The 15,267-nt window shown below is 39.5% G+C and overlaps 1 long non-coding RNA gene across 5 annotated transcripts in view; it reads left to right on the top strand.

Moving 5' to 3' along the window:
• The window catches only part of BDNF-AS (BDNF antisense RNA), a 191,320-nt gene that overhangs the window by 78,143 nt on the left and 97,910 nt on the right, over positions 1 to 15,267 (top strand). The window lies entirely within an intron of this gene.

Below are 15,267 nucleotides of genomic sequence, written 5' to 3' on the forward strand. Positions count from 1 at the left end.
CCAAACAAGCACCAAAGAAGTTTCCCCTCTAAGCCTGCATGTTCCAGCACCATTGTTTAGACAAGGAATTGGTGGTTGCTGTCCCACTTCTTAGGAGAGCACATGCTCTGCAGGGTTGTCTGGGCTCTGCATTTTCCGGTGGGTCCTGGCTTTGTCTTCCTCATGGGCCAATTTAATGGGCTCTTCCCACTGGGCTCTTCCCAGTAGACTCTACATTAGGCAGCCCCTTCCTCATAGCATGCTTCAGATTTACAGTCATTTCCTAGTTTTCTCAAGGATGGAACTTGCATTCTGTTTTCCTTCTTCTGCTTGTTGCAGTGTGACTTTGGAGAAGAGAAAGGAGACAGATGTTTTTACTCCACCATTTTAAAACCAGAAGTCTCCTTGCTTAATTTTAAAATAACTCTTTTTTATTTATTTAGCAGAGGATATATGGTCACCAATCAGTGGTAACTACTATTAACTTTTGGGAGAATATTTTTCCAAATTTTCTCTCTGTCAATCTCTCTCTCTCTCTCTCTCTCTCTCTCTCTGTCTCTATCTATCTATATTAACCTATTTAATTTCTGGAAAACATGATATAGAATTATTAAATAGTCTACAACTTTGTTTTTAATTGGCCTTTGGCATCTCAGTGTATGAATATACCGTGAGTTATTAACCAGTCCCCTAGTTTGGGCCACAGGCCACAGGGTTGAAGAGCATTACCTCAACTCTAGTGGTGAGGTTGACATATGAGCTCTAGGCTCTCATATGAACTCTAGGCACAAAAGGCCACAGACTTTCAAGGACTGGGATACCTGCTCTGCTGGGGGTTCCCAACATCATAAGACCCAATGGCCCTCTCTACTTCCCATTGAAGTCTTTTAAAAAATACTTTTAAAATTTTAAACCAATTTTAGACTTATGAAATAGTAAAAGTAGTACAGAATTCCTTATATTCCTTACCCCATGTTCCTTAAAGTTAACATCTTACATAAGCCTAATAAAATGATCAGGAACGGGGTATTAACATTGGTACAATACTGGCAACTAAACAGAAGACCTTATTTGAATTTCATCAATGTTTCCATTAATGCCTGTTTTCTGTGCTAGGATGCTAACAGTGATCCCAGATTGCATTTATTTATTTCTCCTTAGTTTCTTTCAGTCTATAAGTCTATAACAGTTCCTCAGTCTTTCCTTTTTTTTTTTTTTGTGACATTCACACTTTTAATAAGTACCAGTCAGTTAATTTGTAGAATGTCATTCAATTTGGAATGTTTTCTCATGATTGGATTGAGGCTGTGTGTTTTTGGCAAGAGCACTACAAAAATACACCTATATCTTTCTCAAGGTATCATTATCCAGGAGTAATGATCTTGATATGTCTTATTGCTGGAGGACTTTATCTTGATCAGTTGTTTTAAGTCGGTGTCTGATCAGTTAGGCCAAATTAATGTTTTTTAGCCACACAGTGGCCTATCGAGACACTATCTCCCATATTTACTTAGGTTAGTTACCCATCCATTTCAGTGTGGTTATGTTATTCATTTGTGTATGATTAGGTTCATTTGTTAGTGTTTCTACTCGGTTCTGGGTTCTCCTTTCCTTGCATCCTGGTTGATTTTAAGTTTTTGTTTATTTTGAGGATATGTGAAGGGTTTGTGAAACTGTGGTTCTAAGAGTCAGAGCTATACAAAAATAGTACTTGGAGAAGTGTGACTCCCTCCTCATCCCTAAAACTCTGTTTCCATTCACCTCTTTTCTTCTCTTTTTCCACTTGCTTCCTTAGGTAACCACACTACTAAGCTTCTATTTATCCTTCTTTTAGATCTTTTGCACAAAAGAGCAGACACCTTGGTATTTTCTATCTTCTTCTTATGTCCTAGAGATACTCTTTCGGGCCTTGCCTTTTTCACTTAACAGTATGTCCTGGAAATCATGCCATGCCTGTTCAGAGACCTTCTTCATTCTTTTTTTACCACTGCATAGTATTTCATGGTGTGGATGTATCATAGTTTATTCAACCACTTTACTATGTATGGGCATTTGGGTCGCTTCCAGTATTGTACAGCTACAAACAAAGCTGCAATGAATAACCTTGCATATATGTATTAATGCGTAGTTGAAAGTATATCTTTGGGGTAGATTCCTAGAAGTGGGATTGCTGTTGAAAGGTAAAAATGTATGTAGTTTTGTTAGGTATTGCCAAATTTATTTCCAGAAGGGTTGTACCATTTGTATAATTGGTACATAAAACCCATAAAAATGACTTTTTCCTCACAGCATCACCAACAGAATGTGTCGTCAAGTTTTTAAACTTTAACCAGTCTGGTGAGAAATGATACTTACTGTGTTTTAATTTGTATTTCTCTAATTATGAATGAATTTCAGCATTTTCCCATATATCTGAAGGCCATTTTTAATGTCCAGTTTTTGTGAATTGCCCATTCATGTCTTTTCCCATTTTTTATATTCTTAATTTTAATTTTTTTTTTTTGAGACAGAATTTCTCTATTGCCCACGCTGGAATGCCCTGGTGTGATCATGGCTCGTGGCAGCCTCCAACTCCTGGGTTCAAGTGATCATTTTGCCTCGGCTTCCCCAGTAGCTGGAACTATAGGGACATACCACCATGCTCTATTATTATTATTATTTTGGTAGTGATGGGGGTCTCACTATTTTGCCCAGGCTGGTCCTGAATTCCTGGGCTCAAGTGATCCTCCTTCCTTGGCCTCCCAAAGTGCTGGGATTATAGGTATGACCCACCACGCCTGTCCTCCTATTTTTTTAAATTGAGTTTTCAGTCTTTTGTGTCTCAGTTATTAAGAGTTCTTCATATGTTAAAACTATTAGCCCTTTGTCTGTGGTATATGCTGTAAATCTTTTCTCTCAGTTTTATCAGTCGCTTTTGACTTTCTTTGTGGTGCTTTTGTTATATAAAATATTTTTTATTTTCAAGTAGTAAAATTTATAAATTTTGTTTTTTATTGCCTCTGATTTTTTTTATTTTTTATTGCCTTGGGATTTTGAGTCATCCTTAGAAAACTTTTCCCTACACTGAGATTAAAAATGAGTTTACTCATAGTTTCTTCTAGTACTTTTACAGTTTTATTTTTAAATATTTAGATCCCTAATTTATTTGAAGTTTATTAATATGGATGATGTGAGAGATGGATCTAATTTTGTCTTTCTCCAAATGACTACCCAGGACCATTTGTTTAAGAGTGTCCATCTTTACTCCAGTGATTTGAGCTTATAAATGAGAACATGATATTTTGTTTTCTGTTCCTGCATTAATTCTCTTGGAATAATGGCCTCCAGCCGCATCCATGTTGCTGCAAAGGACGTGATTTCATTCCTTTTATGACTGTATAGTATTCTATGGTATATATGTACTATATTTTCTTTATCTAGTTCAGTGTGGATGGACACCTAGTTTGATTCCATGTCTTTGCTTTTGTGAATAGTGCTGCGATGAACACACAAGTGTATATGTCTTTTTGGTGGAACAACCTATTTTCTTTTGGATATATACCTAGTAATGGCATTGCTGAGTTGATTGGTGGATCTGTTTTAAGTTTTTTGAAAAATCTCGGCCAGGCAAAGTGGCTGACGCCTGTAATCCCAGCACTTTGGGACACTGAAGGTAGGCGGATCACTTGAGGTCAGGAGTTCCAGACCAGACCAGCCTGGTCAACATGGCAAAATCCCATCTCTACAAAAATACAAAAATTAGCTGGGTGTGGTGGCACATGTCTGTAATCCCAGCTACTCAGGAGGCTGAGGCAGGAGAATCACTTGAACCCGGGAGGCGGAGGTTGCAGTGAGCCAAGACCATGCTACTGCACTCCACCCTGGGCAAAAGAGTGAGATTCCATATTTAAAAAAAAATATCAAAACTGCTTTCCACAGTGGCTGAACTAATTTACATTCTCATCAACAGTGTATAAGCATTCCCTTTTCTCCACAGCCCTGCCAGCATTTGTTTTTTGACTTTTTAATGATTGCCATTTTGACTGCTATGACATGGTATCTCATTGTGGTTTTGATTTGCATTATCTCTGATGATTACTGATGTGGAGCATTTTCCCGTTTATTTGTTGGCCACTTATATGTCTTCTTTTTAGAAGTGTCCATGTCTTTTGCCCACTTTTTCATGAGTTTTTTTTTTCTTGTTGAGTTTTTTAGGTCCCTTATAGATTCTGGATATTAGGCATTTGTTGGATGCATAGTTTGTCGTATTTTCTCCCATTATGTAGGTTATCTCTGTACTCTGTTGATAGTTTCTTTTGCTTTGCAGAAGCTCTTTAGTTTAATTAGGTCCTACTTGTCAACTTTTGTTTTTGTTGCAATTGCTTTTGAGGACTTAGTCATAAATTCTTTCCCAACACTGATGTCCAGAATGGTGTTTTCTAGGTTTTCTCCTAGGATTCTTAGAGTTTGAGGTCTTACATTTAAATCTTTAATTCATTTTAATTTTTGTAAATGGTAAAAGGTAGCAGACTGGTTTCATTCTTCTGCATATGGCTAGCTAGCTATACCAGGACCATTTATTGAACAGGAAGTCCTTTCTCCATTGCTTATTTTTGTTGATTTTGTTGAAGATCAGATGGCTGTAGGTGTGCAGCTTTATTTCTGGGTTCTCTATTCTGTTTCATTGGTCTATGTGTCTGTTTTTGTACCAGTACAATGCTGCTTTGGTTACCGTAGCCTTATAGTCAGGTAATGTACCTTTGAAGTCAGGTAATGTGATGCCTCTGGCTTTATTCTTTTTTGCTTAGGATTGCTTTGGCTATTTGGGCTCTTTTCTGGTTCCACGTGAATTTTAGAATAGTTTTTTTCTAATACTGTGAAAAATGACATTGGTAGTTTGATAGGAATAAGTGCTGAATCTGCAGATGGCTTTGAGCTGTATGGCCGTTTTAACAATATTAATTCTTCCAATCCATGAGGTTGGAATGTTTTTCCATTTGTTTGTGTAATCTTTGATTTCTTTCAGCAGTGAGAAAACTGACATCTTTATACTGTTCACTTACCTAAACCAAGAACATTTTATTTGATTTTATTTTAGTTTTTCTGGAGTAATTTACAATTTTTTGTGGAGTCTTTTGGTTGATCTAGAACTAGGAAAAGACTGTCCTAGGCCATAAGTGGTCAGGAAAGAAAAAATACACTAGAAAATGTATCAAAGATCTGGTAAATATGCTTACATTGTCTCAAAGTTCTTCACAACCACTCTGTGAAGCAGGCATTGTTAGCTACATTTTACAAATGGTTACAATGAGCCTTAAGTATTAAATAAATAGAAAGTGGTCAATAGTGAAGGCAGGATATAAATTTATGTGCCTGTATGTCACCACTCCATATATTATTTGCAAGAGCATGCCAGGTAATGGAACATCTAGGGAAGGAAGCATTGATAATAAAGTTTAAAATCTTCAGAATGAGGCTAGAATGGTGGTTAGCTTAGATCCAGTATTAGAACCCAGTGTTGAGCCTTGTATTTAGTTCTGCACACTTCACTTTTAGAGGGACATGGCTAGGCTTGGATAGCAACAAGATTTCACCCTCTTGTTAACACTACTTGATTGATCAGAGCTAGAGAGCTGTGCTGAAATTGATTACAAGACTTCATCTGGGCATATTAGTAAAGTACATAGGGATCAATATGCAATGTTTTCCATGAGTATGAAGATAGGGAAATGGGGTGTGTCAGCTATCTGTCAGTCAACCTTGGGCTATACAACAAGTCCAAAGGGAAGTGACAAAGATGGGGTGGGAACTTTATAAGCATGCCATGGAATGGAAGGTTTGAAATCCAGGATTGGGATGGAAGAAGTTTTGCTAGTTTTTTGTTGTTGTTGTTGTTGTTGTTGTTTTTAACGTTCGAAAAAAAAGTCATGTCAACTTTTTATGTGTGATTCCTGTGGTTAGAACAATGATACTGTGTAGAGTGCCAACTCAGGTTCCATAGAAGGAAGAACTCTTCTAATAATCAGAGTTGCCTAAATATGGGGGAAAATGGCCTGGCAGCGATCATGCACTTGCTGACTTTTCAGTGTGACATAGACATTGAGAGTTCAGGCTTTGGGATCATAAGATCATGGGTTACTTGTGTTGAATATATTACAGAAGTCAAATCCCTCCATTATATATACTCCTAACCCTCTAGAGCATGATGTGGGACTTATTTTACATTTATTTGTGTGATCCTTTGCTTAAAATACATCTTTCTCAGCACATGAGTACTCTAATGATGGCAGTGACTGTTTTGCTCATAGTACCTGGCACAGAATAAATGCTCAATAAATGTTTGCTGAATGAATGAATGAATGAATGTAGGTTTGTCACTCTCAGTTGTTCCCTCCTGGGAGCTACTATCAAGCTTGTGCTTGAGTCACTTGCTTTGATGTGCCAAAATATGTTAACCAATAGGGGCCCCAAGAGACACAGAAGTCACAGAATGGTGACACTCAGGCTTTGTGTCCCCGATGCCAGTTTCACTCATGGATCAAGGGAGGGATGAGGCAGGGGAGGAGGGATGTTCAGAAGATAAGTGAGGGAGGGGTGGTAATCTCCCGATAGTTGTTCTTTCAGACTTTGCACTTCCCTTTTAGAAACCTCATCATACTTCTATTAGTTGTTCAATATTGTCTTTTCTATCAGATCCTCCCTGTTCAATTTCTAATTTTTCTGTTATGCAGTATGCCCCATGAGGGTAGGGACCATGTTTTCCTTAATTATTTCCGTAACCCGAGCACCTAGAACAGTGCCTGGTGTATAGTAAGTACTCAATAAATTTTTGTGAGATGAATAAATACATAAATGAAATGTGGTCTAGAATCTGTGTGCCCAATAAAGTAGTGTATGAGATATTAGGACATGCAATACACAGTCTCTGTTTTCAAGTTGCTTGTGGCCTAGGTAGATACTTAGTAATATGCAGACAAAACTCTAATACACAAAGAAAAAAGGCACTGAAGCAGAAATTAAGTTTGAATCTTTGCCTGCAGTGATTTGCCTGTGAATAGGATTTCAGTGACCAATAAAAATTACCCTGCTCCTTTATGGTGAGTTGTCATAAAGTATATGTGCCCCTGCCTTTTCTTGTATCTTCTAGTAGCAAAAGAACACAAGGCTGCAGCTTAAAAGTCCAGAATGTAGTCTCTTCAGTTTCCCTCAACTGTGACAAGTTAGTGGGGAGCAATAATTCAAAAGGATCTTTCTAGAGGTAATCTTGCAAAATTCTTAGAAAAATCTAAATTGCAAAGTGAATGTACAAGGGGGTAATGGTGCAAGCATCTTCAGCCCAAGATGCTTCAAAAATACTGAGTCATCACCAAGGCCAGAAAAATAGACCTTATCTTATATAACCACACACTGAACTTAAAATATGTAAAGGGAAATTAAAAATTTTTTGCATATTACACAAAACAAGTCCCTGAGAAGCCAGAGAATGATATCTTGGCTAAAGGAGTATTTGATGTTAGTTGAACTGTAAATTTTTAGGAATTTAATATTGATTACAGTTATATGCAAAGAGGACATGAGGAATGTGATGGGCTGCCATCAGCCAGGAGAGACTGTTGTACTTGGAACCATAAGAAACATGTGTGAGTGGTCAGGGTGCTGAAAGAATAGGACTGAAATGGGCTGTCAAGAATGCATGAATGATTAATGTGTAAGTGCAGTGATGTGGATTGGAATATATTGCAAATTTGATTGAGTGGGAAAAGTGGGAGGGGAGACTTAGTGCCTCTAAATGTATGTGGGATTGTTTTAATATCATGCATTAATAGATACTAGCCAGATCCATTAAGAGGTTGTCACCAAGACTCATCAATTTTTCTTACCTTATATTTCTTGTATTCACTCTTCATTTCCTCTGCCTTTTCTCTAGTTTGGACCACACATTTCATGTCTTGGCTATTTCAATAGTTTTCCAGTTAATCAACATGACTAGTATTCCCCAAATTGGGTTAACAACATCTAAAACCACCAGGTCAGTATTTCTAAAACAACACTTTTCTATCTTAATCCTTCATTGTCCTTCTCCCCAACCCCCCAATATTACCCAGAATAGTGGGTTTCAAACTGTGTCCTACGATCATACATAGAATGCTCCAGAAAGAGAGATTATGTTTGTTTTTACTCAACGAATATCTTTCTATCACTTAGCACAATGTGGAGGCAGAAATATTCAATGAATATTTGTTGAATGAGTGAACGAGGTGGCTCATTGGTTGCTGGGAAATGGAATTAGAGAAAGACAAGAAATTGGATTCTGGGGCTCCTACTTCCTATCAAATCAGCAGCTCCATTATTATCTGCTTATTATGTAGGTGTTTTGAGTAAGTTTTGTCTGAAAAAGAGTCCTGTTGCTCTAAGTATTTGAAAGCCAATTAACTAAAAATATTTTAACTCGTACACCTAACATACAAATCCTAAATTAATCTTTCAAAGGAACCTGCTAGTACTCCCCAAAATACAGAGAATATAATGTGGTTTGTTGTTGTTGTTGTTGTTGCTTCTGCTGTTTTTTTTTTGTTAAATGTTTTTTTGTCCAGCAATCCTCTCCAAAACCCCATGGGTCTATGGGGCTGCCATATTTGTTAGTATATGATCCCATTCCTGAGAAATAGGTTTTGACCCAGGCCTGGCCTGTTATAATGTCTTGACATCCAGGCCTGAATTTGTTTGTGGGTAGATACCTGACCCCAGCTGGGCCATTTGTTATCCTTTCCTGGGATTTTAAACAGTTTTTATCAGAAACCAAGCAATAACAATCTGATCATTTCTGTGGCTAACGTTTTTCCCCCGGTGGCTAACATTAAGAGAAACTCTTCATGATCAGATTTCCCAGTGTTTGGAGAAGCAAACTAGAGTGGAAGAGTCAGAAGCAAAGATCCAGAAAGATGGAGATATGAGAGACAGAGAGAGCATCCTACTGGTATTTGAGTTCATTTCCAAGGCTGTCGAAGGTTGGGTTTTACTGAAACAGTCCCTGTGATAGAATTTGTGGTGTAGGATATTTATTAGGGACCAGCACTTATGGGAAGGAGGAAGAGAAAGCAAGATTGGGAAGAGGAAGAAACTGAACTCAATGCAAGTCTGACAACTCCACAGAGAATTATTGAGCATAATAAGTCCATTGAGCATAAATGGCCCATTGAAATTGTGCTGCATGAGCTGAGATGTTCTGGCCTTTATACTTCCACAGTGATTAGTCACTGGATATGGGCTACCCAGGGAAGGGCAAGCTCTTGGACAAGGCAACTCTCAGCATCTGAGGCAAACCCTGAAGTAGATGATAGATGAAGGCTGTCTACTGACCACATGGCCAGCATCTGGGAAAACATATTGTTCTGTGAAAGGGTATCTGAGCGGCACTTCTCCATGTCCACCATGTAGGCCCACCTTTACCCTGCCTTCAACATGTTTGATCTTCAACTTCTTTTAATGATGTGAGATATTCCAATATGCTTCCAATACATTTCCTTTTTTTTTGTTTTTTCGCATTCTTTTTTTATTATGATTATACTTAAGTTCTGGGATACATGTGCAGAATGTGCAGGTTTGTTACATAGCTATACATGTGCCATGGAGGTTTGCTGCACCCATCAACCCATCATCTATATTAGGTATTTCTCCTAATGTTATCCCTCCCCTAGCCCCCCACCCCCCTCATAGGCCATAGTGTGTGATGTTCCCCTTCCTGTGCCCGTGTGTTCTCATTGTTCAACTCCCACTTATGAGTGAGAGCATGTGGTGTCTGGTTTTCTGTTCCTGTGTTAGTTTGCTGAGAATGATGGTTTCCAGCTTCATCCATGTCCCTACAAAGGACATGAACTCATCCTTTTTTATGGCTGCATAGTATTGCATGGTGTATATGCGCCACATTTTCTTTATCCAATCTATCATTGATGGGCATTTGGATTGGTTCCAAGTCTTTGCTATTGTGAACAGTGCTGTAATAAACATACGTGTGCATGTGTCTTTATAGTAGAATGATTTATAATCCTTTGGGTATGTACCCAGTAATGAGATTGCTGGGTCAAATGGTATTTCTGGTTCTAGATGCTTGAGGAATCGCCACACTGTCTTCCACAATGGTTGAACTAATTTACACTCCCACCAACAGTGTAAAAGCATTCCTATTTCTGTACTTCCTCTCCAGCATCCGTTGTTTCCTAAATTTTTAATGATCACCCTTCTAACTGGTGTGAGATGGTATCTCATTGTGGTTTTGATTTGCATTTTTCTAATGACCAGTGATGATGAGCTTTTTTTCATGTTTGTTGGCCGCATAAATGTCTTCTTTTGAGAAGTGTCTGTTCATATCCTTCACCGACTTTTTGATGGGGTTGTTTGTTTTTTTCTTGTAAATTTGTTTATGTTCCTTATAGATTCTGTATATTAGCCCTTCATCATATGGATAGTTTGCAAAAATTTTCTCCCATTCTGTAGGTTGCCTGTTCACTCTGATGATAGTTTCTTTTGTTGTGCCGAAGCTCTTTAGTTTAATTAGATCTCATTTGTCAATTTTGGCTTTTGTTGCCGTTGCTTTTGGTGTTTTAGTCATGAAGTCTTTGCCTATGCCTATGTCCTGGATGGTATACATTTCCATTTTTTAAAAATCAAGGTCAAGTTAGATTGTTGTCACTTGCTATGAACATCCTGACTGATATCCTTCAGCCAGCCAGATTGCCCTCCAGAATACTCTTCTATCCTTTTGGTTTTGAAATACGTGTGTGTGTGTGTGTGTGTGTGTGTGTGTGTGTGTGTGTGTGTTATTCTCTACTGCTAAGGTCTGAATGTTGGTGCCTTCTCCAAATTCATATGTTGGAACTGGAAAACCAGTGTGATAGTATTAAGAGGTGCAGCCTTGGCCAGGTGCAGTGGCTCAAGCCTGTAATCCCAGCACTTTGAGAGGCTGAGGCAGGTGGATCACGAGGTCAGGAGTTTGAGACCAGCTTGACCAACATGGTGAAACCCCATCTCTACTAAAAATACAAAAATTAGCGGGACATGGTGGTGGGCGCCTGTAATCCCAGCTTCTTAGGAGGCTGAGGCAGGAGAATTGCTTGAAGCCAGAAGGCGGAGGTTGCAGTGAGCTGAGATCATGCCACTGCACTCCAGCCTGGGCAACAAGAGCGAGACTCCACCTCAGGAAAAAAAAAAAAAAAGGTGGGGGGAGGTGGAGCCTTTGGGAAGTGAATAAATAAATCATGCAGTTTCCACCCTCATGGATGAGATTAGCACTCTTATAAAACAGCCTTCAATGGACTCCCTTGTTCCTTCTGCCACATGAGGACACAGGTAGAAGGCGTAGTTCATGAAGCAGACGTTGAATCTGCTGCACCATGAACTTGGACTTCCCAGGCTCCAGAACTGTGAGAAATAAATTTCTGTTGTTTATAAACTGCCCAGTCTAAGGTGTTTTGTTACAGCATCCTGAATGGACTAGGACATCTATACAGTCATTCGTGCGACAAATACTTCCAGTGTACCCACCATGGATCAGGCAAGAATCTAAACCCTCCCTTTCCTAAAGCTTCAGCCCACTGCCTTTCTTCGCACATGACTCCTTATGAAGTCTGCTCTCCTTTGAATGACAATAGCACTCACATTCCTCATCACCTCTACCATTCGTCCAGCACTACTTTGTCTTCCACTGGATGGCTGGCCTCTGGCAGAACTGTTTTTTGTGACACTGTTTTATGAAATAATGGGTCTCAAATGAAGGATGGGGTGAGAAAAATTCCATGGGACTTTGTCCCAACCTCTAAGGATGTTGTTCACTACATTGCAGTGTTCTTTCTACAAGACCCTCAGGAGATATTTCTTTTCTATCTCAATATCAATACCACATGTGCTTCTGAATAACTGCTTGGTTTTTATCTCACTACCTTGTGAACTGTGCAACTGGCTAAATTTCTCTTTTCACATTGGCTGCTGGATAACTCAAGCCAAACTTGCACACCCTTAGCAAATGTGTAACATACTATGTCAGATGCCAGTAACTGTTGCCTCCAGGTCATTGAGACTGAGGACGTGATTGTTTGTTTAAGTGTGTTGATATGGTTTGGCTGTGTCCCCACCAAAATCTCACCTTGAGTTGTAATAATCCTCACATGTCAAGCATGGAGCCGGGGGGGATAACTGAATCATGGGGGCACTTTCCCCCATACTGTTCTCATGGTAGTAAGTAAGTCTCAGAAGATCTGACGGTTTTATAGAGGGGCATTCCCCTGCACAAGCTCTTTTGCCTGCTGCCATGTAAGATGTCCCTTTGCTCTCTGACTTTGTCTTCTACCATGATTGTCTGGCCTCCCCAGCCATGTAGAACTGTGAGTCCATTAAACCTCTTTCCTTTATAAGTTACCCAGTTTTGGTTATGTCTTTATTAGCAGCATGAGAACAGACCAACACATGGGGTTTCTTAAAAATTTAACCTGGGCCAGGCACAGTGGCTCACGCCTGTAATCCCAGGACTTTGGGAGGCCGAGGTGGGTGGATCACGAGGTCAGGAGATCGAGACCATCCTGGCCAACATGGTGAACCCCCATCTCTACTAAAACTACAAAAAAATTAGCCAGGCATGGAGACATATGACTGTAGTCCCAGCTATTCTGGAGGCTGAGGCAGGAGAATTGCTTGAACCCAGGAGCTGGAGGTTGCTGTGAGCCAAGATTGCACCACTGCACTCCAGCCTGGGCGACAGAGTGAGACTCCGTCTCAAAAAGAAAATAAATAAATAAATAAAATAAATTAACCTGAATGCATTGAGGTTGGGCATAGAGTCTTGGTTGCCTCAAACATACTCACCCCCTGTTGTAAACATCACTTGTCACTTCATATATGTATGCACACGCTGGCCCCCTTGAAGTTCTTTGATTTTATTATTCTTCCTCTATAGCTTGCATTAAAAAAATTTTTAAGAATAATATTTTTAATTTAACCCACCGTATTCAAAATGTTATCATATCAACTTGCAATCAATGCAGAAAAAAAGTATTAATGAGATATTTTTCATTTTTTTGTACTAAACCTTTAGAGTCCAATCTGTTTTTTATTGTTGTAAAACATATATAACATAAAATTGACCTTTTAACCATTTTTAAGTATACAGTTTACTGAAATTAAGTACATTCGCATTGTTGTGCAACCATCACCACTATCTACCAGCAGAACTTTTTCATCTTTCCAAGAGAAAACTCCATACCATTAAACAATAACTCCTCATACTCCCCTCTCCCCAGCCCATGGCAACCACCATTCTATTTTCTGTCTCTATGAATTTGACTTCTCCAAATACCTCATGTAAGAGGAATTGTACACCATTTGTCCTTTTGCGTCTAGCTTATTTTACTCAGCATAATGTCCTCAAGATTCGTCAGCGTTGTGGCATGTGTAAGAACCTCCTTCCTTTTAAGGCTGAATAATATTTGATTTATATATATTCCATATTCCACGTTTTGTTTATCTATTCATCTACGGTTTCCATTTTTATATTAGCCAATTTTATGTTGTTGCCCTTGTTTTCTCTGTAAACTGCCTTTAATTATTTTATGAGCAGTGTGCAGCTTAAATACATTCATAGTTTTCATCTTCAATAAGACAATAAGCTCCTTAAAGGTAGTGTCCAACACATGTTTTGCACAAAGGGGATGTTTGACACGTGTGTTCATTGGCACAAGTAACACTCTGTTCTAACCTATAGGTGAGGTGAATGCAGTGGGGAGTCAGGGGATGCCTGCACCTTGGCTTGGGGTGATGTAGAACACAGAACATTTGTGTCCCTGTGTCCAAGCCTTTGGTAATCTTATCTATCTGTTCTATGCTCCTGCATTTACTTTTCTTCCCCAATATCTTTTTAATGATCATTTTAGTAACAGTACTGTCAACATATATTACACTGAAAATGCTGAAAGGAGTCCCTTTGGGAGGAGGCACACAGGCTGAAAAATTGCTCTTCTTATTTTCCTCTCCTTGCTATTCCAGCCTCAACTGCTCTTCTTGGTGGAGACAACCACTATGGGACCAGAGTAGATTAAAATATAAGGCTGCTTTAATGGTAAAAAGTTTCCCAGTATTCAAATTCAGTGAAAAATGCCCTTAAGCTTTAAAATATAGAGATATAATTCAGTGATTTTTGGGGAAAACCTTTAAACAGCAATCTAAAAAGAAAAGTTTGGAAAGAACCTATAATCAGAGCCTGGTTGTCCCAGGAGGTAAGGTTATATGGGCATGGTGGCTTCTTCTATGGTATAACTAAAGAACATGAAAGTCCTTCTGAACTTACACCCAGCAGACCAGGAGAATTTTCCCTTGTGTAGTGACACTTGATTGGCATTCATGCCAAAGGGCTCTTGTGAAATGGTTGCCTGAGCAGAGTGAGGTGGCGCTATAGTAGCACATCAACACTGATTCCCCATGTGCTCCCTGCACTGTCAGTCCCTAACAGGCAGGCATAAAGCCTCTGCTGGAGCCACTGCAGGGATGGGAGCTCAAGACCACTCATGCCTACCCTCACCTGAGTAGCCCACTGTGGTTTGGGACAGCCTTGTTGTTAGAAAAATCTTTGTTTTATTGAGACCAAAACTTTCTCTATAAACATCACCTTTGGCTTAAAATTTGCCTTAATCACATCTAATCTTTTTTTTTTTTTTTTTTTTTTAAAGACAGGGTCTTGCTTCATTGCCCAAGCAAGCAAGAGTGCAGTGGTGCAATCATAGCTCACTGCAGCCTCAAACACCTGGGCTCAAGTGATCCTCCCACCTCAGCCTCCCAAGTAGCTGGAACTACAGCCATGGGCTACCATGCTTCCTGGCTAATTTTTAAATTTTTTGTAGAGATGGGAGGTCTCACTGTGTTGCCCAGGCTGGTCTTGAACTCCTGGCCCCAAGTGATCCTCCCACCTCAGCCTCCCAGTTCCATAAAAAGGAGAACTCACCAGGAGTTGCTGCACAGTTCATGTTCACAGGATGCACGTTCTTTCCTATTCAGCACTAAGAAAGCCATTGGCTTTACCACTGAGGTGAGGCCTGTGAACGAGTTAGGGTACAGCCCAATATATGGCTTCCTTTTATTTTCTTGTTTTAAAATGGCCATCTGTAGAGTCTTCTGGAAGCCACCATATGTCTCCTGTGTTCTTGACAACAACCATGAAAGGTGGGGTAGGCTGGCTCCTGTTCTGCAGATGGTGAGATGGCACATGGGGAGATGGTGTTGTACAGTGGGAAATGCAGGCTGAAGCCAAACAGACCTGGGTTGAATGCA

This window comes from Homo sapiens, chromosome 11, assembly GCF_000001405.40.
Source record: "Homo sapiens chromosome 11, GRCh38.p14 Primary Assembly".
NCBI classification, from domain to species: domain Eukaryota; kingdom Metazoa; phylum Chordata; class Mammalia; order Primates; family Hominidae; genus Homo; species Homo sapiens.